The sequence below is a fragment of the Homo sapiens genome, chromosome 6 (genome assembly GCF_000001405.40).
Source record: "Homo sapiens chromosome 6, GRCh38.p14 Primary Assembly".
NCBI classification, from domain to species: domain Eukaryota; kingdom Metazoa; phylum Chordata; class Mammalia; order Primates; family Hominidae; genus Homo; species Homo sapiens.
Genome location: NC_000006.12, coordinates 108,165,976 through 108,190,492, shown reverse-complemented (window position 1 = coordinate 108,190,492; position 24,517 = coordinate 108,165,976). Strand labels below are relative to the sequence as shown.

General features: G+C 47.5%; 1 protein-coding gene across 2 annotated transcripts, besides 4 other annotated features; it reads right to left on the bottom strand.

Annotated features, from left to right (window-relative positions):
* NR2E1 (nuclear receptor subfamily 2 group E member 1) lies at window positions 1,684-24,471 on the bottom strand. 2 transcript variants are annotated; one of them, NM_001286102.1, is made up of 9 exons: window positions 22,331-22,470; window positions 18,890-19,035; window positions 15,570-15,657; window positions 13,755-13,990; window positions 12,252-12,398; window positions 10,074-10,170; window positions 9,537-9,686; window positions 8,842-8,947; window positions 1,684-3,192 (listed from the first exon to the last, which is right to left on the bottom strand). In NM_001286102.1, the coding sequence occupies exons 1-9, from the start codon at window positions 22,464-22,466 to the stop codon at window positions 3,030-3,032; spliced, it is 1,269 nt and encodes a 422-aa protein (NP_001273031.1). In that variant the 5' UTR covers window positions 22,467-22,470; the 3' UTR covers window positions 1,684-3,029. The 2 variants fall into 2 exon arrangements, with proteins under 2 accessions (NP_001273031.1, NP_003260.1); NM_003269.5 differs by lacking the exon at window positions 22,331-22,470 and adding an exon at window positions 23,703-24,471 and having other exon boundaries at window positions 1,688-3,192.
* Window positions 13,371-14,106: an enhancer, noted in NCBI's record as "H3K27ac-H3K4me1 hESC enhancer chr6:108497591-108498326 (GRCh37/hg19 assembly coordinates)". NCBI's record gives its function as "activates a minimal SCP1, AML or CMV promoter by ChIP-STARR-seq in naive H9 embryonic stem cells {active_cell/tissue: H9 hESC(naive)}" and the evidence as "EXISTENCE:reporter gene assay evidence [ECO:0000049][PMID:30033119]".
* Window positions 20,023-20,922: an enhancer, noted in NCBI's record as "H3K4me1 hESC enhancer chr6:108490775-108491674 (GRCh37/hg19 assembly coordinates)". NCBI's record gives its function as "activates a minimal SCP1, AML or CMV promoter by ChIP-STARR-seq in naive H9 embryonic stem cells {active_cell/tissue: H9 hESC(naive)}" and the evidence as "EXISTENCE:reporter gene assay evidence [ECO:0000049][PMID:30033119]".
* Window positions 20,923-21,824: an enhancer, noted in NCBI's record as "H3K27ac-H3K4me1 hESC enhancer chr6:108489873-108490774 (GRCh37/hg19 assembly coordinates)". NCBI's record gives its function as "activates a minimal SCP1, AML or CMV promoter by ChIP-STARR-seq in naive H9 embryonic stem cells {active_cell/tissue: H9 hESC(naive)}" and the evidence as "EXISTENCE:reporter gene assay evidence [ECO:0000049][PMID:30033119]".
* Window positions 22,725-23,626: an enhancer, noted in NCBI's record as "NANOG-H3K4me1 hESC enhancer chr6:108488071-108488972 (GRCh37/hg19 assembly coordinates)". NCBI's record gives its function as "activates a minimal SCP1, AML or CMV promoter by ChIP-STARR-seq in naive H9 embryonic stem cells {active_cell/tissue: H9 hESC(naive)}" and the evidence as "EXISTENCE:reporter gene assay evidence [ECO:0000049][PMID:30033119]".

The window sequence follows — 24,517 nt, the reverse complement described above, 5'->3', positions numbered from 1 at the left end:
AAGAAGCTATCCTAGGAAAGCTGCTAGTCCAGGATGAGGAAACCCTGAAGCTTATTTATTTATTTATTATTGAGACAGGGTCTCACTCTGTCACCAGGCTGGAGTGCAGTAGCATGATCACAGCTCACTGCAGCCTCGACTTCCTGGGCTCAAGTGATCCTCCCACCTTGGCCTCCCAAATAACTAGGACCACAGGTGCACATGACGACACCTGGCTAATTTTTTGTATTTTTAGTAGAGACTGGGTTCCACCTTGTTGCACAGGCTAGTCTCGAACTCCTGGGCTTGTGATCTGCCTGTCTCAGCCTCCCAAAGTGCTGGGATTATAGGTGTGAGTCACCTCCCCCAGACTCCCTGGAGCATATTAAACCCAAACTATAGCCTGGAGTCAGCTCCAGCTGAGCCCAGCCAAGCCCTGCACAGCCACATGAGGCTGGCAGTCCTGTGAGCAAGTTATAAGAGTTTGTTGCTGTAAGCTTTGAGGGATGTTTGTTATTCAGTATTATTGAAGGAAAACTTGACTGATACACAGATGAACAGCCTTGGACCCATCACTCAGCTTTACTAAATCTTGTCATTCATCTCATATTTGTTTGAGATTTTTTTCTTATGAAATTAACCATTACAGAAACATTTGAGGGTCCTGTTATACCCTTCACCCATCCCATCTCTTCTTGGAAGTAGCCACTATCCAGCAGTTAGTGTTTATAATACTCATGCCTGTTTTAAATGTTTCCTATACATTTATATGCCCATAAACATTGTCTAGTATTGTTCTGTAGGTTGTAAAACTTTATATAAATGATACCAAGCTGTATGTGCCCTCTGCAATTTACTTTCCCCATAACACACACAAACACACTGTATTTCAGATTTACCCATGTTGATACATTAGCTCTAGCCATTCACTTTGCCTACGGTAACATTGTCTGTATTCACCACAATGTACCTATTATCTGTCAATGGATACTAAAGTTGTTAAATACGAACAGTGTTGCAAGGGACATTCTTACACAGTCTTTGAGTACTGTGCTTTTCTTTAAGACCAATTCTCATTCTCCGTAGAATAAGTAGACAAGAAGTGCACAGCTGATTGAAATTTCACATATACGGTCCGCAAGACCATTTTAGCAAGAGCAGAGGCACAAGCATCTCTTGCTGGAGCTGCCACCCAAAAGGAGTCTACAGTGCCTGTGGCCTTGGGCACCTCTGATGGCCTTTGCTTGTGGGACCGGTGCCTTAAGACTTGCTGGGAACATCTGGATGACATTTCTACTGCTCCCTCCACATCTTACTCACCATATGAACTTTATCATACTTTATCTTTTTGATCATTAAATGATTTCAAGTGACTGGTCAGGATTGAAATGTTGGCAAGAGAGTTAGAAACAGAGGAAGGAATGAAGACTCTGTTAATCGGCCTCCTTCCTCCTCACACAGCAATTTTTCTAACAGATGCAATTACATTTGAGAGCTGTAGAGAACAGAATCTTACGTTTTATTTCTTTATTCATCATTTTCCAAATGGTATTCACTGTAAGAAGGAAATTGCCTTTGTAGTTCAGTTCTGCAGGCTCTGTGCTGGAGTGCTCCGAGCTTCAGTTTTAACACCAGCTGCTGCCCCTACCTTGTTTCTGGTGGGTGAGAACCAGCCAGGGAGGGAGGGTAAGAAATCAGAAAGAGTTCATTTAAATTCAATATATTTTTATTCTTTGTAAATACAATGAGTACAACCTTTTAACTTCACAAATCAGTTAATTCACTTTGTACAAGAAAAGTTTTACTCATCCTATGATAGTCCAAGTGCTGAATTTTTTTTCCTCAGTGCTAGTACCTAATAAATCAAAATGTGAAAAGTACAGCAGCTATTTAAAAATGTTTGTTTCTACATTTCCATAAGTATAGAGTCATACCAAAGGAGCAGCTTAAAGTGTAGGACGGTGTGTGTGTGTGTGTGTGTGTGTGTGTGTGTGTGTGTGTGTGTGTGTGTTCATTCAAGGCTTTACTAGAAACCAGTTTTCGGAAAGGCATTGAAGAGTCTCAGGCTGTTAGCAATGGATCAGTCAAGAACCCTTTTAGCATTCATTCATCTCCTTGAAGTTCCTTCTGCAATTACGTCCATATTCGTTTCCTGTCTGGTGTGACTTGCTGCACCACGAGTTTGGACCCCCACTGCCTTTGGTTTCAGCACTATGTTAACGGGACAGCAATCTACCTCACTCAATCACTCATCTCCACTTTATTTGGTTTTGCTGTTTTTATTCATCCTCCCTTGACTTATGTTCTTTTAGTAAAGCTCTTCTCTTTTTGACATGTTATCCAACCTGAAGTCCTGGTGAGAATCTCATTTTGTCCATCAATTCCTTTGACAAGGTTGCCTGGCCTATGGTATTAAAAAAGAAGAAGAAAGAACAAAAGAAAGAGAAAGAAAAGAAAAAAGAAGATAGAGAAAAAGCAAATCACATGGCATAAGCTACTTTTCACTTATTAACTCAGTTCTGAAGGCCACTTAATAATGTATTACAATAGAGGGGAAACTTTTGATAACACTTTTAATTTAAAACCTACCATTATTTTTAAAATAAATGCTCCAACATAACGTAGTTTTGAAGGCCGCAGTACGATGTTATACACAGAGCTATATTTGGTTACCAAACTTTGTATGCTAAAAAGGAAGAGAAAGCACTACTTATGTTTCAGCTTTTGATCGTTCAGCCTGATCTTCCAGGTAAGAGGCAGAATGGCACGGCCTGTGGCAACCCCCAGTTTGCCCCCTCCCAGGGCATGGCAGCAGTGAGTTTTCAGTGCAGGCGGTCCTGTTGCACCCCTCTCCTTCCCACCCGCCCTATCCTGGTCAGGGCGGCAGGTCATAGCTACTGGAATGCTTTGTGTCAATTGGCATTTTTTTCCTGAAGGCTACACATTCCCCGGTATATGCTTCCTGAAGGGTTTGTTAGTTGAGGCTTGTTCTCCATGGGTTGAAGTTCATCTGATACTGTCCCATCCTGAAAAGTGGGTATCTTGTGAGCTTAGATATCACTGGATTTGTACATATCTGAAAGCAGTCTTGTAATTGGCACATTGCCGATGGTTTTTTTGAAAAACACTTCTTCTATAGTTGATGGGCTAATAGAACGTAAAGCTGGCAAAAGCAACAGGAGTTTTCCAAAGCGACAGGGTTGAGTGGGATATCTGGAATGTGAGAAGCCATGAAAACAAGGTCAGAGGCCATTACTTATGGAAACTAACGTCTTACACTTGAACACACATCATCTCCAGCATTGCTGATCTAGGTCTCTTGAATAACACAGTATCCCTGCAGCAAAGTTCTGGACAGGCACTGTTGTCCCCGTTTTGCAGGTAGACTACTTGAGGCAGGGAGACCATAAATGATGCTGCCAAAATCACACGGACACCCTCTCTACATTAACAAATGGATTGCATTTTGTTTGGGAAAAAAAAAGAAATTTAAGAAGCATAATACTAATTTTAAGCCAAATAATAAATTTAAGGTTTCCATTATAGAAAACGACCAGGGCATTGAGGATAAGGCTAGCAACAGAACCCATGTTTTCTAATTCTAAGGACTCCTCAAGGCTATTTCCCTCAAATAAAATGGCTTCTTTTTCTAAGCAATTCTCCAAATTATTATTCAGGCATTATACTTAGTCTCTCTCAGGAATAATTCCATCCTTATTACACTGCAAATTAAAGACTAAGTTCTGTTGGGTGGCAGTGCCACCCAACTCTCATGTCAATGAAATTGGCATGTAATTAAAGATGTGAGAAATTGCTTAACAATTTCCTCTTTTGATGTCCAACATATATCTGTGCTCAGATGTGCAAGTTCAATCTTCTGCTGCCTTTAGATGCCTGCAAGCCACCTCCTCACTGCAGCCCTGATACTTCTTCAGCCAATAGTTAGAATTAGATATCAATATACATAAGGAGAGCTCCCTCCACTGAAATGAAACACCTAAAACCTGAACTTCCGGGATACACATCTGTGACTAAGCTGGGTTCAACCCAGGCCACAAGGTGCTAGAAGCTAAGGGATATCAAAATTCCTTCGAAGGAGTCAGGTGGCTGTGTTTAACTGCCTGATAACTCCACCCTGCAAATAAAGTTCAGGGGAGCAACTTTCATGCTTGTCTAAATATTTAGCTCTGGGCACATAAGAGTCCTTCACTTCCACAGAATACAAGGCTTATAGTTCATCTGGGCCTCTCAGGACCTCAGCTGGCTCTTTCACTGCCCAGCTTCATGACCACCTGCAGATAGGGGCCACCAGACCACATCTAGTAGTGTGGTGTGGAAATGGTGAAGCTTACCTGCATTAAAAAAAAATACTTAAATCCTACCACTTGTTCTCCTTGTTTAATGTATTTCTAATGTTTCTTGGAAAGTAATCCCCAAATCCGTGTCTCCCTTTCACCTTGGCCACTTCTTTTCAACAGCTCTATTTCCCTTCCCAGGACCAGGCATAGTAGAGATAATTCTTCAGCAAGTCGGAGGCAGTGGCTGCCTGGACGACCTCTGCCATCTGCAGCATCCACCCAACATGCTGAACATTTCCCGTGGTGAGAAACCACTGTGAGAAATAATCACCTTCAGAAAGGATGAATTTGGGGGAATCTATAGACAACCAACTCCTGATTTTCTGCGATTAGATTACCCACTCATCTACTCTCCCACTTATTTTATTCTTTAGTTGGGAAAGGGTTGGTTAGTCAGTCAACAAAAATTAATTGTCTATTACATATAGCATACTGTACTACTACCAGAAACAATAGCAATGTATGAGGTCAGGTGTGGTGGCTCATACCTGTAATCCCAGCACTTTGGGAGGCTGAGGCAAGAGCATCGCTTGAGCCCAGGAGTTCAAGATGAGCCTGGGCAACATAGCAAGGGCTCATCTCTACAAAAATTCGCTGGGCACCTGTAGTCCCAGATACTCAGAAGGCAGAGGTGGGAGAATTGCTTGAGCCTCAGAGGCAGAGGTTGCAGTGAGCCATGATTGCACCACTGCAATGCAGCCTGGGCATCCAAAACAAAAACAATGTGTGTGTGTGTGTGTGTGTGTATGTGTGTGTGCGTGTGTGTGTGTGTGTGTTAGAGAGAGAAGGTCTGACTAATCAAAATTATTTTTTAGAATATCTATGCCCTTGTCTTCATCCATTAGCATCAATAATTGGATTTTCTTTTAGGTTTAAGTGTTTTAGGTCTATTACAGATTTGCATATTTGATCTTCAGTTATAGAATATAGTTTGTGTGGAATGTCAATTCCTAGCCTTCTCCTTACGTCCTCGATAATTAGAGAAATAGCTTAGAGAGCTGTAATATACAATTAGGCTCAGTTTCAGTTTGCATGTTAAGTTTTCATTTCAAGTTCAGGTTTTATTTTTCTAGACAGGAAAGTGCTGGAGGAAAAAGTGTTCACTGATTTGAAGGGCTAAGAAATAAGGCATAGTCATTTTTGTCACATGTATGACCCTAGATATAAATATTAAATTACAGCTGTAGCTGATATCAGAATGAAATAAGAATTCCATGAAATAAGAAATTCCATAATTCCATTATTTAATAAGAAATAAGATACTTATTTGATATTTACTATTCTAATATTTAATAGAAATAATAAGAATTCCATGGCAAAGCAGATGTGTTTTTTCCACACATAATTTTCTTCTTTTGCGGTGTTGGGGAGATGTACTTTACTTGCCATTTCTCTAAAATAGGCTGTTGTTAACCCATGGTTGAATTCTCTCGGGCCACCCTATCAGCAGCTCCTGGCACACCAGGCTCCCCTCCTCACTCACCTCTCTGGCACTTCCCACAGGACCCCTACCAGCTCCTCCACCACTCTCAGGACACATCTTCTCCCCTGCTGAAATCCTCCTCCCATTGAAGGACCAATTCACATGTTCTTTCCTCCACCCATCAGACTTTGAGCTTTTCTGATTGTCCCTCACTCCCTCTGACTAGGATTCATCTGTCACACTCCCCACATTGCTTTCCTCTCTTCTCTAGTTTGGATTGGAGTGACACTGCTGCCCACTTCTTGCAATGATAAGGGGCAGTGTCTTGCTCCTTCTGGTATCCCATATCGCCCACCTGCAGCCCTGCATGTGGCCAGTACTCGGCAAAGGCTTGACTGGATCAATAACTGGATACCACGTCCTTCTCATTTTTAAGTTCTTAATACCATAATGGCTCTAAATGTCAAAGGTCAGTTAGGACATACAAGTTAGTTTGTTTTTGTTTTTTTGTCTTTTTAATTTTTTTGTTTGTTTTTTAGACGGAGTCTCACTCACTCTGTTACCTGGGGCTGGAGTGCAGTGGCACAATCTCGGCTCACTGCAACCTCCACTTCCCAGCTTCAAGCAGTTCTCCTGCCTCAGCCTCCTGAGTAGCTGGGACTACAGGTGCACGTCATGACGCCCAGCTAACTTTTCTATTTTTGGTAGAGACGGGTTTCACCATGTTGGCCAGGCTGGTGTTGAACTCCTGACCTCAGGTAATCCGCCCTCCTTGAACTCCCAAAGTGCTTGGGATTACAGGTGTGAGCCACTGTGCCCGGCCTACAAGTCAGTAGAAGTACCCAGATTATGTACTGCTCCATTTAATAAATTTGAACAAATATTAACTGCCTACTATATATATTCTGTAATTCAATATGCATTTAAAATTCAAATCCTGGCATTTTAATTTGAAAAAACATATACAGGTGCACTATCTGTCAACATAGTTTCAGTGATATTCCATAGACAGGGAACAGTTTTATTCATTTAGTATTCAAAAGAGGTTTACGATAGAAATAGAGAGACTCTAGCAGAAGTGGTATCACCCCAAATGGACAGAGTTGACTTGGGATTTCTCTGACCCATTAGTTGAGGGAGGCATTAACAGCCTCTACCCATTTGATGTATTTATTCCCCCCACAGTGTCTATAGCTGATGTTGAGATTATGGAGCTGAGCTTTCACAGATTCCTTTCAAATCAGCCTAGAGAAGAGTAACTCTATTCTAACTTCAAATCTACCAGTCCTAACTCAGGAAACTAGAAAGTTTCCATTTCTCTTTAAAAGCCTGGCTTTTTTTTTAAATGGCATAATAAAATTTACACTTCTTCTTTTTTTTTTTTTTAAATTTTTGGTGGAGATGGGGTCTTGCCATGTTGTGCCCAGGCTGGTCTCGAACTCTTGAGCTCAAGTGAACTGCCTGCCTTGGCCTCCCAAAATGCTGGGATTACAGGTGTGGAGCCACCTCAGCCCCCAGTCTATACTTCTTAATGGGCTTGCCCAGTGCTGGGCCAGGAGGAGCTTTGTTGGAGCCCCAGTCTCTGAGAGTTCCTACAAACAGCCAAAAACAGCCTCTGCCTGTGGGCCCTGCATGGCCAGAAGTAACCTGGTAGATGTTATGACACAAAATAACAGATACCAGTCACCAAGGCCAAACAACAGTTATGATAGGTGAAAAGATGGCTTCTTTAGGCTGGGCACAGTGGCCCAGGCCTGTAATCCCAGCACTTTGGGAGACTTAGGTGGGAGGATCACTTGAGGCCAGGAGTTCGAGACCAGCCTGGGCAACATAGCAAGACCTTGTCTCTATAAAAAGTTTAAAAATTAGCTGGGTGTGCCGGGCATGGTGGCTCACACCTGTAATCCCAGCACTTTGGGAGGTCAAGGCAGGCAGATCACAAGTTCAGGAGTTCGAGACCTGCCTGGCCAACACGGTGAAACCCCGTCTCTACTGAAAATACAAAAATTAGCTGGGCGTGGTGGCAGGCACCTGTAATCCCAGCTACTTGGGAGGCTGAGGCAGGAGAATCACTTGAACCCGGAAGGCGAAGGTTGCAGTGAGCCGAGATTGCACCGCTACACTCCAGCCTGGGTGAAAGAGTGAAACTCTGTCTCAAAAAAAAAAAAAAAAAAAAATTAGCTGGGTGTGGTGGCATGCACCTATAGTCTCAGCTACTCAATAGGCTGAGGTGGGAGGATCACATGAGCCCATGAGTTCAAGGCTGCAGTGAGCCATGCTCACATGCCACTGCACTTCAGCCTTCCAGCCTGGGCAACAGAGCAAGACCCTGTCTCAAAAAAAAAGATAGCCTCTCTGGAAAGTTCTCTCATCCTTTTATTTGAGATTGGCATCTGAAGAAAGTCACCTGTGTTTTCTCAAGGATGATGTGGCCACTCTCTCACATACCAACCATTACACTTTGAGCTTCTTTTTTTTTTTTTTTTTTTTTGAGACGGAGTCTCGCTCTGTCGCCCAGGCTGGAGTGCAGTGGCACAATATCGGCTCACTGCAAGTTCCACCTCCCAGGTTCACGACATTCTCCTGCCTCAGCCTTCCGAGTAGCTGCTGGGACTACAGGTGCCCACCACCACACCCAGCTAATTTTTTTGTATTATTTAGTAGAGACGGGGTTTCACTGTGTTAGCCAGGATGGTCTCGATCTTCTGACCTCGTGATCCACCCACCTCGGCCTCCCAAAGTGCTGGGATTACAGGCGTGAGCCACTGTGCCCAGCCTAGGCTTCATTTTTGACCCCTCCATACCCATTCACACAAATGTTGTTCCATTATTTTGATGGATCAATTTGTTCCGCCAGGACAACTGTAATATGTCTGGCAGTGCTTTCACTTTGATCATCTAATTAGATTTGCTCCTCTCACCCACCCTGAGAGATAGGTAAGGACATGGATTCTCCCTAAATTAACTGGCTGGCAACAAGATAATTAGTCACAATGTTTGAACTGGCTTATTACCGCCTGCTCAGGCATTCACAATGGAGGCAATTTTCTTAAGTACATGTTCAAGGCAAACAAGGGTCACCTGGTATGGATGTAGCTGTTGAGCGTTAGCTGAGCCTCATCTTGAAGGGCTGCAATGGCGGCAGCATTCCGGAAACTTCTCAGTTCAGAACCACTATGTGTAGGAACTAGAAATGAAGACCAGGAAACTGTGATAGACAGCATAGAAATTGCATCTGGGAGCCGAGCGCAGTGCTCACGCCTGTAATCCCAGCACTTTGGGAGGCCGAGGCAGGCGGATCACTTGAGGTCAGCAGTTCGAGACCAACCTGGCCAACATGGTGAAACCCTGTTTCTACTAAAAATACAAAAATTAGCCAGGCATGGTGGCATGTGTCTGTAATCCCAGCTACTTGGGAGGCTGAGGCAGGAGAATTGCTTAAACCCAGGAGGCAGAGGTTGCAGTGAGCTGAGATGGTGCCATTGGACTCCAGCCTGGGTGACAAGAGCAAGACACCATCTCCACAAAAATTTAAAAAATAAAAAAAAAGAAAGAAAAAAAGAAATTGGGTCTGGGAATGCACCTCTCTGGAAGTTGATGCCCAGCAGAACATGCAGGTTCCCATAGCAATAAAAAATGGGGCCAGATTAAGAGTATCAGCTCCCTTGAAAACCATCACCTCTTTTTGCAAAGGTCAGTTCAGACTTCGAGGTGGCTGAATTAGTGAGGTGGCAAAACTGGGGAAGGAGAAGAAACAGGGGTCTGTGTCTGCTTACCGGCTTTGAAAGTGACGATGCATTTTAGACAGGCAAATTCAGTAGCATCTAACCGGAGTTGTCTAAATCGAGCCACCACCTCTTGTAAAGCCTGTATTTCAGATATGATCTTGTTCAGCTTCTGGGAATCTGTGTTGTCACCGTTCATGCCTAGAATAAAAATATGGGATAAATACTCTAATATGAAGGCATTTTCATGATTTAATATTGATTTTTGACAAAATCCTGCATATCAATATCTATTCAATTGTCACTCTAAGATATCTGATTCCATGTAAACCGGCTATATTGTATGAAAGTTAATATAAAATCTTCTCTTGGATGATAACAAACACAGTAATTTGCATTTAAATAACAATGCAAGCAGTCATGAATACAACAAAACAACATTATTTGCATTTAAATATAGATTTATAAATGACAGGTATACTCTATTGTTCAGCAGGAATTTGTTATTCTTTACATGTTGTTCTTTTTTCAGTAATGTATTTTTATGGTAATTTCTACAACAAAGTCATTAAATTGTGCAATTCTTACCAGATACAGCCAGTAGAGTGTTAGCATCAACCGGAATGGCCCATTGTGCTATTCCTAGAACAAACAGTTCTCTCCAAGCATCTTCCAAAAGCATCAGCTGTCATACAATAGATGTATAATATAATATAGTGTGTAATTTATAAATTTATAAACAATTTCACTATGTAAATTTCCATTATTTTAAAAAGTGTTTTAAATGCCTGTCTTGGTAATTTTTTCTGAATATTCTAGCTTTCCCTTATTTTCCCATATTTTCCTTTTGAAAAGGTGCCTATAGATATGCATATGGATTTGAGAGTCAGCCATTCCAATTCTCCAAAGTTTCCTTCTCTCAGAAAAGGATTTGCCCCTCTTGTCCTTGTATCCACCCATTCCTGACCACCTAGAAGCTCCTCTAGAGAGCGAGGCTTTATGAAATGCCAGCAGCTCAGCAGGTGGATTCCCCTCACAGAGAATGCTGCTATTAGCAGGGTTGAGGATTCCTCAGACGCTTGCAGAGCTGGGTCCCCATCTTCCTGGAGGGTTGAGGGGGCTGGGCTGGGAGAGAGACAGAGATCACTAATTCCCAAGAGGCACTGGGGGAAATCAGGGTGTAATTATGTTAATCGGGTTTTGCTGAGTTTTCCTCGTCTCACTGCTTGATTTTTCTGAGACCCATAAATGGACAGCATCAAGGTGCTTGTCATTTTTATTCTAATAAAATGTGCTACTGAATATTTAAAATGAAAATCTGTCTCTTTTTCCAAATTAATATACCAGATTCCACTTCACTGCAGGTTGCTTGTTGTCGAAGGATTTCTACCAAAGGGCTAAGTGGCAGACAGTAAGTAAATTTTGTTTGGGTGAGAGTATACAAATACTTATTTTGAAAAAAAATAGCCAGTCTACACACACACACACACACACACACACACACACACACACACAGGAAGTGGTTAGAGCTAACCAGTAAACCTGGTCAAAGATAGGACCTAACTACCTTTAAAAATCTCAAAACTCAAAAGCCAGTCAACTCTAAATGATTTATGTAAAAGGATTTCTTTTGGGAGCTAAGAGCTGAATCATGAAGGCTTGTAACCAAAATCACAATTAGACCAAAGGGTTTAATTTTTTTAATGTTTTATTTTTAGTTTTATTCCATCAAGTACAGGAAATAATTATAAAATGCAAGGTAAACAATATTTAATTCTGGCCATATTTGAAAGGGCAGGCCATGAAAACAAGAACATCTCATGCTAGAAAATGAAATGCTTTTAGCACATTGCCCGATCTTTCCGTAGGAAACATACTTCATATAAAGGGGCACTATTATGCTTTAATTAGGTATGAAATGAATTGAAGAAATAAATCCTTTGCTTTTAGAACTACTTATTAGCCTTTGGAAAATTTGTCATTAATTCCTGTGAATGCACTGGTAACAGCCAATGGTTGGGAACACTTTATTTTCTTTCTTTCCTTTAAGGTTAGAAAAATGTTAGCATTTCTAATATTCCTATCAACAAAATTTCTGGGTCTCAGTACAATACAATGTTTCACTGCACACACTTTTTCTTCCCCTGAATGTCATTTACAACCACGGAATTAAGCAAAATGCCTATTTGTTTACAAAATGTCTAAAAGTACATGAAGAATCAAGGAAGAACCTAGCCTACAGGAGGTGTGCACTGTGCCCTTTGGTTTTACATGCTTATCAATTAATGACCAAAACTGGGAGCATCGCAATGGAGAATATAAAGCTGGGAATATAAAATAATAACATCAGTTCTGAAAAATCTCATGAGGGCATACTCTTACCACCTTCTACTTCTCTCAGTTCCAATGTTCTTAGTAAAACATTGTTTCATCAACAGTTTTAGAAAATCATTACAATTTTAAAATTTGAGATTATATTTGCTGTTCCAATCAAACAAAAAGAGGTAATGTTCTTGTATGTGTGTTTTCACAGACTGGACCCATCCTTTCTGAAATAATGTAATTACGTTTCTTACTAAGGATCATATAGGTAGATATTTTGAACCCACAGGAAGAAGCAAGTAAAAACAAGTAGTTTCCTCACTGCTATTAAGAATGGATGCCTGCCTTGGGTGGTTTACCCAGGGATAGAGGAAGTTTTATAAGGCTGAGTGCTACTGCTTCTTTCCCAGCTCTCTTTCTCCCAAGGCCTCAGTGTGGTCATACCTGGTCTTGCAAAGACAGCGTGGAGAAGGCTGGCACACTCTTAGCCCACTTGATGCTCATGAAGAGAAGTCTGGCAGCTGATTCACACACCGACTCCGTGGCCACTTCATAGAGATACATTGGGGTCCCATTCACTTCATGGGGGTACTGGGTAGGGAAGAAAGAAAGACACCTGGAAGTGAGGAAACCACAGCTTTGCAAGAAGAACCAAACTTTTAATTTCTAATTAAAGCAAGGAAGGGGATAAAAAAGAATTTGGATGTTTTGTTTAAACATGCAGTTGACATTGGTGGGTAAAAAAATCAAACATCGCTGTCTATAGAGTTTGAAAAGTAATACTGGTTGGGGGAGGTCCATTTCCACTCTTTGGGAGCCTCTCCCTTCCAGAAGGCCCTCTGGCTTTTCTATCCCCTGCAGCAAATTTTCCTTGGGCTGAGCCAAGTGCCAAGCCTGGCTCCCAATTTAGACAAGAGCTGCTTGCATTTGTGTAAATAAAAATAGATGTGAAAAAGTATAAATTAATAGGCATCCCAAACACAAATATGCATATGAGTATTTTTAGAAAGGATTAGTATATTATGGAAATATTTCAATTAGACATCTTAATCATTCACAGAGCATTCCCATTCATAACTGACAACATATTCATAACACTACTTTCCAGAGCTTATTATACACATCAAGGGTAAGAAAGCCATATTAAATATTGTGCGTGTGCATGTGCCCAGGTGTCTGGCTTCCCTGCAGTGTGGGGCTGCAGCTGGCCCTCCTCTGAGGGAGATCCTAGGCCCTCATCAGCCTGGAGTGGGGGTGTTAGTAGGTATCAGCTGTAGGCCTGGAGGGTAGGCCTTAGGTGGCAGCCTTTCCAGGTGGTTCAGGCTGTGGCCCTGCTCCTATGGAATCAACCCTGCTGTAAATCCACCTGCCTCAGAAGTAGGTGAGGGGAGCATGGGAAATGAACTCAGATTCCTCAAACTGTTCTAACAGTGTGATCTCCACATTTCGCACTTGCGTTAGAAACTCATGGCTTTGCCCAAGATCATACATGCCAAGATTTGGAATTCTGGAGCCCTTCCTCCAGCTGTAGCCAATTCCTCTCCTCTAAAAATGAACGTTGGTTCTTCTGGTCTTTAGGAACACCTGAGGCTGCCCTCTGGGTTTAGACGAGGTCTCCACCCACCACCCATTACCAGTGGGTGTTTCCTAAAGGTGCAGGTTCCTGGCCTCCACCCCAAACTTGCTGAAATGAAATTTCTGGGGGGATAAGATCCGGAGTGCACACTTGTAGCCACTCGGAGGTTGACTCTACTGTACACTCAAGTTTGAGCACCCCTGGCTGAACAAGGGAGAGCAGAAGGGCTGGAGCTCCATGCAGAGACCCGCCAAGCACCCTGGAGTTCTCTCCCCAGTTTGCCTGACCCCAATCACACAGCTCAGAAGAACTGGGTGCGTCCCTCTCCATTCGCTGGCACGAGTCTCTTTGGGCCCAGCAAGGCCGCTGACCTTGGGCGTGGGCTGAGCCAGGCTCACGAGGGTCTGCCGCTCTGGAGTGGTGGACACCGCGGCCAGCTCCAGGCCGTGCGGCTCCAGCTGCGTGACCGCGGTGAAGAAGGCCGGCGCAGGGAGCGCCGCCGAGGGAAAGTGCGCGGCGGCCCCGTTCTCCTCCTTGTGTCCACGGAAGTAGAGGGCCACTTGCTTGCGGATGGTGGACGTCCGAGGCCCCCGCTCGTGCTGCACGGCTGCAGAGGCAAACAGAGAAACGCATGCCGGCGATTAGAGACGTCGAGACACAGCCGCTGCGGCTCTCCCCCCAGCCCCGCCCCAATGTCAAGTCTGGGCGGGCAAAATCGCCCAAGAGGTGAAAAGAAGAAGGGAGAGGGAATCTGAGGGAGGAAGGGATTCTGAGATCGTCTAACCACTACACTGAATAGATTCGGAAGCTGAGGCTTAGAAGAGGGGCCCGTGCTCAAAGTGCCACGATAATGGCAGAGCCTCAAGTAAGACCAGGTGTGTTCTCCTTCGGTCCAGGGCTCCTCCCCACCAGGGAAGGGGGTTCGCAGGGAAACCAGAGACCCTCTGGGCTGGAGTAGCCAGGTATCCTCGCCCCCATCCAAAAGAGAGGGAGCGTCGCGCACGCCAGACACCTCGTTTCTGCGCAGACTTTTCCAGCTCCGTCCAAGAACAAGCCTCCCTACCCGCAGGCCCCGCCCCCACAGAAATAGCTTTTGGCCTCCGAGGGCCGCAGGAGGAAAGGACCCGAGCCCCGGGATTGCTAGGGAATGGAACGAGGGAGAACCCGTCTCCGAGTATGCTGGAGAAAGGCAGGGGAGATGTGACAATTACCACCAACAGTTTAAACAAACAAATTAATTCAGGGCAATCTTCGGCCTGCCGAGCTTGACAACTTGTCAATACACAAGTTCAACAGGTTGGACGCTCCCTCCGGCTTCCTGCGCCGCAGAGGAAGGGGCTCTCTCTCCTCCTGGAGCTGCCACCCGGCCCGGGCCGCCTCACAGCAAAACCCACTCGCACCCTGTTCCCAGGCCCCACGGTGTCCTCCAGCCCATTACCCTCGCCCCCTGCCTGGGCCTGGGGCGCCCTCGACAGGCTGCAGCGGGGGACGCAGCTCGGACCGTGCTCCAGGCCCAGGAAGCACTCTGACGTCCTGGTTCTTGCTGTTGCGCGCTTAAGAGCCTTGGGAGAGCTGGGTGTCCGAGGCACCCACGGGCGTTACCCTGCCTCTCCAGCCCCCTTTCCCTCTTTTCTGTAGAACAGAGAGAAGGCCCTGGACTCACATCGGCCCAATGGCCGTACTGATTTTGGCATCTTGGAGAATTTGCACACGGGCTGGAAATTCCGCGTTTTCGCGTCTCTGCCCTCCCTTTTTCAACACACCGCGAACTTCCAGCCTGTATGATCTCCTCCCCGTGAGACTATCCAGATTTTAAGATCCTGGGGCAGGCTAGCAGGCTTAAGGGTGGCCACGAAGGGCTGCAAAGAGGGATTAGGACCGGAGGCAGAAAATGCGCGCCGGTCCCCTGGAGAGTGGGGTCCCCCCAAGCGCTGCCTGTGTGGAGATGACTGTGGGGCGCAAGTTCCTGATGTGGGCATGGGTCTTGCCCTGGGGAATTCTAGGGGTCGCCAGCGGCTCCTGCTGAAAGACGGGAAGGATACGACTGAAAGCCCGAGGCCAATTCCCAGCATCTGGAAAGAAGCGCTCCGGGGTTGATTTACATGCATAGGAGTGCCATGTATTTTCTGTACATATAATTTACTTACTACTCAATCAACATTGGAATAAAGGGATGCACTGATTACCGTCTTTGTTCATGTTGACTTCCAAACACTTCTTCAGCCGACACGCCCTGCACTGGTTTCTGTGCGTCTTGTCCACCGGACAGCCTCCCTGGAACAGAGAGCAGGAGGTCAGCGGTCCCCAGGGCCTTTAGGCTGGAGACCCGGAGCCGGCACCCGGGCGGGGAAACGGTGTGGAGGCGCGACCTTGCCCGGCCGCAGGCCCTGGAGCCCCGAGCCTGGGCCTGCAAAACGCGAGGGCCTTGGGCATGAGCAGGGCCAGATCGAGAAGGGGCTGGGACGTCCCAGGCTACTTCAAGAGGGCCAGTCCCGGACCCCAAGAAAGCGGACAAGGGGGAAACGTCCTTCTCCAAGCAGGTGAAGCTTAGAGAGCCGGGTTTGGCAGACCCCGCAGGCCTGCGGGGCTCTCGCTAGGGGAACTTCCGCCAGTCGCGGAGTGGTGGAACAGGGACGAGACTTCAGGACCGAAGACAGCGACTTGGCCCCAGAGAAAGAGGCCACTAAGTTCCTTCCGTTAAGAGCTGGCTTTTGGGTCAGGATTCACACCATACCGCCCTCCCACCAACGATTCTTTCTGCTTTCAGTACTTGAGTCTACCTCTTTCTGCCACTTTCTGGGAGAGCCCGTTTATCTATCAGATAAATCTCTCCCATTTATTCTTCACTCTCCTATTACCTCACTTTTGCTTTTGTATGAAGCCAACCTTATTATCAGCAAGTTGAGAGTTGCCTTAAAGACTAGCCTCGGCCCAGGTGCATAGAAACACAGCCCTTCCTGGAAGGTGAGAGTTTAGGAGGGCAAGGCCTAGAGAAGATGAGGGTGAAAAAGGAAGAGCTCAAGTCTTGAGCAAAATATAGAAATGCTCACCATGTAAACAGGACCAGGAAGGTAATGTGATGGACTGTCAGACTAAATGATAATATGGGCTCAGACTGTTAGCATAGTAACTGAAAAAATAAAGGTAGTCACTTCTTTAGAAATATTTATCTGAGATGCATGAGAAATTAGATGTTTACCTAATGCAATTTTCTGTAAAAACATTAGCCATTGAAAGAGGAAATCTACAGATAAAGTTTCCTTTGGAATTTATTCAGTGTTAGATGTCATTACCGAGGGGACATATGCATAGATACATAAAGAGTCATGTGCATGAGTTTTATACACAGAAAATATTTAAGACATTGTGTGCTCTCCTATATTTATAGAAGTTGCTACTGTTAGATTTGTAGTGAGAAGAAAGATAATAAATGTATTTTTATTTTGCTTCATAATCTCAAAAATTCATATACTCTGGAGTTGGAGTAAGTATGTTTTTCTTCCCCCTGAAGCCCTTTAGGGGAAAATTACACATTCGAATGCAGTTTTATGAGTTCACACTTCTCCAATTTAAATTATGATGATTTATTTAAAATAAAGGTGGGACAGATGTTCATATCCATTTCTAAATGTCCTCATTACTGTTAATAATAAATTGGAATATAATTTAATCCTAGAATAAGAGAGAAAGGAGATAATTTTTGGGTCCAAAGTGAATTATTTAGGGCATCTTTGCTGGCCAATGTAATAGTTCATTGTAAACAGGTTTTTTAAAACTTGTTATTAAATGTAATTATATATCTATCCTCAGATGGTATCTTTCCAGTATTCTTATAAGTATGCAAATGCAAAATGGAAACCTTCATAAGTTCTTAAGTGTGTCTTCAAATCAGATCAAATGTATATAAATATCTAGCGCCAGAGAGAAGGATAAACGCCTCAGCTCTGATCATTTACTCTCCTTGCAAGAAGAACACCAGGCCTGATGAGTCTATTATCAGTCCTTTACAAGCACTTGGACTGATATCAATATGCTTGAATTGATAGCCATCCCCTTCTAAAAGATCAAGCACAACATCAGAGATCTTGATTTTCCAATTCTGTTCACTGCATAAAAGCAAAAGACAATCTAAGTAGAAGTTGGTTCAAATCTGACAACCCGCAGTAATCGCACAATCCTGTGGAGTTATTGGGATACAGTCCTATGCGTGTAAAATGTGATGTGTCCATATGGTGAAGCTAGAAACTGATACAGTAGCCAATTAAACAGGTAACAGGGCTAGAGAGCTCAAAATTTATCTCAATGCAAATATCTTCTGTTTTTGTGGTTAATCCAAAACTATTAGAAAACAATATGAGCAGACATGACTTCAGAAAAAGATGTCAGAACAATTCACTAGCAGCAGACAATATATGCATGTGTATACATGTACCCTATATATATCAATTAGTGAAAAGTGTTTTACTATTTTGTTACCAAAGGATGACTGCTGACTAATGCACCCTCAGGGATCTTTCCACAAGTGAAATGGAGGACTCTGTACTGAGGGTCTGAGTCGCTGATAAGGAGAGGGCAAAGTGTAGGACCAGAAGGTTGATCTCCTTAGTTAAAATCAGCCTATTATTGAGCTGGAAACTGAGTCAAGAGGTTCTGCTCACTCTTTCTAGAAGCTTTGGCTCATATTCAGCCCATGCCAGATTCCTCTGTCTCTTTGAGACAGTTCTGCCTACTCAAGACCAAAACAACCGACTGGGCCCAAATTCTAAGCAGAGAAGGAGGACAGGGATATGGAAGCTTGAGGAGGGTCCCAGTTGCACCTTCCTTTTGAATCTTCTCTTCTTCCTCACCCTGCCCTTTTCTGACAAGGCATAGCTAAGGTCACATGGGTGCTGGATTCCCACTGCCCACTTCCAGAGCAGCCCTGCTTCTCCAGAGTTGAAAATGCACAACCCTTCAGAAAGCACGGCCTCTCTTCCAAGTGGCTAGCACTCACTTGGTGGTCTCAGCTAAAGGTGGTGGTGACCTTGACTCAGATGTCTGTGTGCCGCTTACTTCTGCATCCCAGGCAAGTGATCAGGGGACTGAGCTTGATGCTGCTAGGAGTGAGTGTGGGGTGGGCAGGCACAATAACAAAGCTCTTTCTCCTGCTTGCTACTTGTGGTTTAGATGCTAAATTCTTTAGGTCCCTTGGGCCGGCTTTAGAGCCACAGGGTGTGGGCCTTACCCAGTGTCAAAATCTTTCAGAATAATAATAATTTAAAAAAGTGTAGGGAGGCTCTAGGACTTCAGACTCCCTCCTGTAAACTCATATCTTCCCTTACCTCTTCCCGCCTTTCCCCAGCCAAAGGGCCTCCAAGAGTTGAGGCAAGAAGGAGGGGAGAGGAAGGGAGAGGTCAGGGCCGGGTCTCTCCTCAACTGCGTGGAAACTCAGAGGAGGCCTTGGCACAAACAAAAGAGTGAGGAGGCAGCAGAGCGGAGCCCAGCAGTGCAGCCCTGGCTAAGGTACCTGGTTTCCAGATTTGCAGACATAGGTCCTATTCCTTCGGATGCTCCGTTTGAAAAAACCTGAGCAGCCGTCGCAGGCGTAGACCCCGTAGTGCTTCCCCGAGCTGCGGTCGCCACACACTTTGCAGGGGATATCTAAAATGCGGCCTGAAATCGCAGGAAAGACGGGGAAGGGGGGAAGGGGCGAGAGGGAAAGGAGGGCGGAGAAGAGGGAGAAAAGGGGAGAGGGAGAGAGAGATGCTAAGCAATCTGACCTCTGAAGGGATTAGCACCGAAGCTGCGGTAAAAGCAAATAATGAAGTGATTTTATACCCAAACTTTTTTTCCTTGAGCAAGTGTCAGTTTCCTACAATGAGCATTATTCATGCACCGCTACATGTATTTGGTTCTCTTCTAATCGCCGAGACCCATTTTGGAATAAAAGATGACAGCAGGCCCGGGCGGCAGTGCGGCCCTCCACTGCCTTTCTGCTCCGCGGAAAGTTTGGCCGCCTCCCTCCTTCGCTTTTGCATTTAACAGAGAAAGTTGTTAGTGAGCGCGCGAGGAGACAAACTTGAAATGTAAAAGGGAAAAGAAGAAAAACAAACACGGCTGGAACCAGGGATGGCAGCTGGAAGGCAATCGAGTTTTCTCTGAGCTCCGCCGGGCGGTGTTATTATTAGGATTATTATTGTAATGCTAATACTTGGATTATTAATGATAATAAGGGTAGTGGTAATTGGCCAACTTTCGCTTTACCTATTTAAAAAATGCTTGGTGAGTCGCTTTAGAGAAATTATTTCTTTTAGGAAAAAATTATTTTCTCCGCAAAGTGGTTCGGGACTAGGCAAGGGAGAGGGGAGCGACGCAAGTTGTCGGTTCCCTGTCGGGTTAGCTTGGGACAGGCTCCCTCCATTTCCTAAGCCCTTTCTCCCTAGAAGACTGGCCTCCACACACTTGGTCCTGTGTGGATCTCTTCCTCCCGGTTTTTTCCAGTGCTCTTTGAGCCTGATTTTTTTTTAAATTAAGAATCTGACTGATTTCTCTAGGCTGTATCCCCCCACCCCCCATGGACCCCACCTCAAGAGAACTTTCCCTGGAATCCCCTCAAGCCTGGGGTGGCCACCGACCCTGGAGGAGTGTCAGGGAGAGGGTAATATTTGGCCGTTTAGAAAGGGAGGGATTCTTTTCCTCTAAGGTTCAAGAGTCCAACAAGTGCCTGAAGCGGTTTATAGGGACTTAGAAATGCTTCCTCCCGCAAAACAAAGGGAGTATTAAACTGTTAACTTAATTAACACTTTAATTTTAAAAATAACAATAGTTGATAACAATTGACTTATTAACACTTGCTTTTCTCTTCTTCTACCTATCCGAAGGCCTCCAGTTTGGGCCCCAGCGGCCTCAGGCCTCCCTGAAATTCGACAGCTGCTGCCGAAAGCGCTTGGGTTGGGGACTACGATGGGATTGAGGTGGGAAGGGGCGGCAGTGGAACGTCTGGGCGAGGGGAGTAGGGGAGGTGAGGGCGTGGCGCGGGGAGGGCCTCGAGGCACCGCAGGTGTAAACTTGCTCCTGGAACCCGAGGCGTCCGGGCGAGCTTGCACCGTGGGTCCCAGACTCGTCTCAGGTGGAGGGGGTGGGGGAAGGAGAGCGCGGGGGACCGTGCTTGGGGGTGAGGGGGTGTTCGGTAACGACCAGGCTCGGCCGGGTAATTACAACCCCGCGGCAGCACCTGCCTATAGAGCCACCAGTGACCCGTCAAAAAGAGTAGCATGGGAATTCGGACGGCGACAAAGGCGGGCAGGGGAGGCGCGCGGCGCGGCGGCCACCGGCTCGGCGCCCCCCTCCCACAGGGCGGGAGGGGAGATTGTGCTGTGGGAGGGAGGGGCTGGAGAGGGCCAGGCAAGGGCACAGCGGGTCTTGTCCTCCACTCCTTCGGGCCTGTCACTGCGCCCAAGGGAGTTCCTGGTCGCTCAGGAACCGGGTCTGGAGCTCCGCTGCACTGCACTCACTCTGGAAGCGGTAAACTTGGTTTCCATATCTTACAACCATCCTCTGCTTAACACGCGCCCTCTGACCGCTCCAGGGTCCACGTTTGGGGCCCAGCAGTACTGTCACCCCAGCTGTCCTCTTCCCTGTGGCACTGTTGAAGATGCCAAGATGAGTGAGTGGGAGGAGCAGTGGTGGGGTCTCTTTTTCCCCACTTCCCATCCGGACAGGAGGCCCATGACAACATCTCTGGAGAACCCGATGAGGGTGGAGGGAAGACCAGTGCAGGGTGGGGGCCCCTCCTCGGATTCCCCCGCCCGAGCTTCCGGACTGTTGCCCTCTAGGCCACCACCAGTGCGAGTCCTGCCTCTGAGCAGACCTCTGAGCCGCGGCTCCCGGGGCAGATTAGAAACAGGCAACCGGGCTGGGGCGGGGCCCAGGAGGGAGGGACGCGAAAATTCCGGGGCATAGCGGGCCTGTGCCTCAGACTCCGCCACCCAGCCACGTTAAGGTGACTTGGGGTCACGAGACAAGCTGGTTGACCCCGTTGCAAAGCTCCTCTCATTTAGCAAGCCGAGCGAGCTCCGACGTGAGGCGAGCCGGAGTTTCCTGAAGCTGGAAAACCGTTCTTAACTTCCCTCGCCAGGGGGTCCCCTCGGGGCTTTTTGTGTGTCATAATTGCCTAAAGATATATGGCAGCTTCGATTACTGTAATTACCATCAGAGGCTGTTGAAAGAAGTTAGTCTGGGCTGCAGGGGTGACTGGCCAGGGTCTCGTTACCACCCAGGCGGGGCTCCGGGTGACATCGCTCTGCTCTCCAGCCGCGAGAAGCCGGGCAAGGCGGGGGCTGCAGCTCTGTCTGCTCGACCCAGTCCTGACCCGGCCCGCTGCGCGCCGACCTCCTAGCTGCCCCGGGCCCGAGGGACGCAAGTCTCGGGTTGGCTGCCGCCACCGGTCTGGAAAGGGCCTAAATGCAGCGGCGCCACCGGCGGGGGCCGCTGTCCTGCGGGCCTGAGAAAGCTCAGCAGCCGCGTCCCGACCTGAGCCGGGGCTGGAGGCTTCCAAGGCCTCACTCAGGCTCTTGGCAAGTTAGAACGGCCAAAGTTTCCGCAAGGAGCCCGCTGTGGTTTTTCCCCCAAAGTCCGGAGGGTTGGCCTGCCTCCTAGTCCACAGCGGGGGCGCAGCCGCAGGCGGGCAGAGCTCCCCGCTCACCCCTCCCTCGCCTCTGAGGCCTCACCTTTCAAGGGCCCCAGGGGCTCCACACCCCGAAAAGGACGAAAGAGCCCGGGGCTCCTTACTTCCAGGGGTGTAGGCGAGGGCCTGTCCCGGGGCGAGCGAGCTAGGAGGCCTGCCGAGACCCACGGGCTTCAGTTTTTGCAACGGAGGCTCAGAATGCAACAGAAACGGCCTCCTGAGCCTCCTGGGAAGGACACTCACGCCCGGGAATGCGGGCAACAAAAATCGAGGTCGCTTTACCTCCTGGAGATTCCAACAGCGAGGGCCAGGGTAGGCCCGAGCCTAAAGGGAAACCCAGTCCTGGGCCAGGGTCCGCTCTGCATTCCGGCCGCGGTGAGGGCTCCTTCTCTGCTCCCTCTGCCCCAGCTCGAAACATTTCTCCTTTTCTTTTTGTTCACGTTCATTTTGCTCTAATTTTTTAAAGGTCAGCACCCAAAGCAAAACAAAATGAAAACACAACCTCCTTCTTGGAGGGGGGTAGGAGGGCGGGAATTGCATCCCACTTAAGTGAGACTTCATTACCAGTCCTCAGAAGTATCTCCGATTCTCCCAACTTTCAAAGACTCAGGACAATGAGGGCGAGTGAAAGGGGGAGGGGGAGGGAAGGAACGCACAGAGCGCCAAAAATGCTATCTGCGAAAACAACACAAGCAGCAAGGCAACTTCGGGATATGGGGACTGCGGCGGCAACGGTAGTCCCCAGCCTCAGACCCTGGAGCCCGCAGCCGTGGGCCACTGGATGGCGGGAACTGAAATGCCCCCGGGAGATCTGAGCACCGTGACCGCGCCTGCTCAACGCTGGCTCGGGCCTGCACATTCTTGGGTTCCGCAGGCAGGGTGCAAGCAAATGCCCTCGCACACACACTTAGCCCTGCGCTCGTGAGTCTCGGGGTGGTGAGAGGTCAGCTGCGGCCTGGCGTTCGGAGAGCCGGCAGCTAAGGAAGTTCGAGGAAGGAGAGAAGCGCACGGAGGGAGCAGGCCGCGCACTCCTGCCTCTGCTGGGCTCCGGCTCGAAAAGTCCTTGGGATTAGGGATTTGGTCCTCTCTTTGCTAGAGTGGTTCGCCATACTTTAAATTCCCCAGTTATGACCTACGCGGATTTAGGATTAAGGAAAATGTGACTTTTAAATTGTTTCTGCTTCCCAGTTTGCAGGATTATTTGAAATAGCTAGAAACGGGGTGCAAAGCATTCCATTCAAAATCCGCTTTGCACAGAGTTGCTTTTGCGCGCTGGAGCTCGGAGTTTTGAGCGAGTGTGTTATTGTGCTACCGCCTGGAGCTGCGGCCCAGTTCCCGCCCCCATGGCCCCCCCATCCAGCACCTGGCGGCTAAATGGAGACAACTCATCCGACTGGTGGGCTGCGCGGGTCGTAACCTTCTCACCGCACCAGACAGGGGGGATCAAGCAATCCAGAGGCAACGAAACGGCTCTCCCCTCTCCACGAAATGCTCCAACTCACGGTCTACAGGTCTGGGCCGAACGCACACGCCCGCTGGAATCCCTCTCAGGGGCTCAGATTCGCAGCGCTCCAGGCAGGACCTCCCCCAGCCTCCCCGCTCGCTCGCCCCAGGCTGCGCGCCTAGGCCCCACGGCGGCCCGAGAGGTACCCACTTGTTGATCCGGCTGGCTTGCTCATGCTGGCTGTCCCGGGGCGGAGCGGTTGGTGGGCGCTGCCCGAGTCCCGGCCGGCAGCGCCCGCCTCGCCGCCGGGCGCCGCCGCTCTCCAGCTGCCCTCCAGCCTGCAAGGCTCCTGGGCGGGACAGGTGGGTGTCAGTCGCGCGCTGCGCTGCTCCCTGGGCGCTCAGAATTCGTCCAACAGTGGAAATTTAAGCATCCTTAAGTTTCTTCCCGGCTCTTGCAAAACCGCAGCTGCTGGGAATGCTGCTTGATATGGACACACACATGGACAGACAGATGGAGAGATGGACAGGAAGACTGAGGAAGAAGGAAGAACAGCAAGAGAGGGATGTTGAAAGACAGAGATGGAGACACGAAAATGGCCTTCCTACGGAGCGAAATCCCTCTTTTTCCCCATTCCTGTCACTCAGTCTTCGATCTCTCCCTCTACATAGGCATGCAGAGTGTGGGCAATCTCTGCCGACCGCTGGTCTCCCAAGGAAAGAAGGAAAACACTACCGCAGTCTCAGAGGCAGACGGGCTCCGCGCTGCCGGAACCCAAGCGCAGAGTGGGAAAACTAGATTGCTGGGAAATCTTCCGAGGGAAGAGGCGGCCAGGTCCGGGTTTCCGGGGAGAGCCGCGCACGCAGCGGCGAAGGGTCCCCGAAGTTCATTACCCCGTGACTTTGTGCCTGTCGCTGCGGGCTGGGTCCCCTGTAATATCTCCAGAAGCGCTCTGACAGGCAGCCGCGGGGAGGGGAATAGGGCGTCCCTGGCCCACTTAGCTTTTCCCCCAACTCCTGGCGGGG

Bases quoted from the DNA above. Each gene is read 5' to 3' on its own strand.
- NR2E1 (NM_001286102.1), bottom strand. From the start codon at position 22,466: ATGTTTCGAGCTGGGGCAGAGGGAGCAGAGAAGGAGCCCTCACCGCGG. The intron at 15,658-18,889 runs GTACCTTAGCCA...TCTCTGTTCCAG, and splicing joins TCTGCAAATCTGGAAACCAG to GGAGGCTGTCCGGTGGACAA. The intron at 3,193-8,841 runs GTGACCCTTGTT...CTCACATTCCAG, and splicing joins AACAGCTACATCCATACCAG to ATATCCCACTCAACCCTGTC.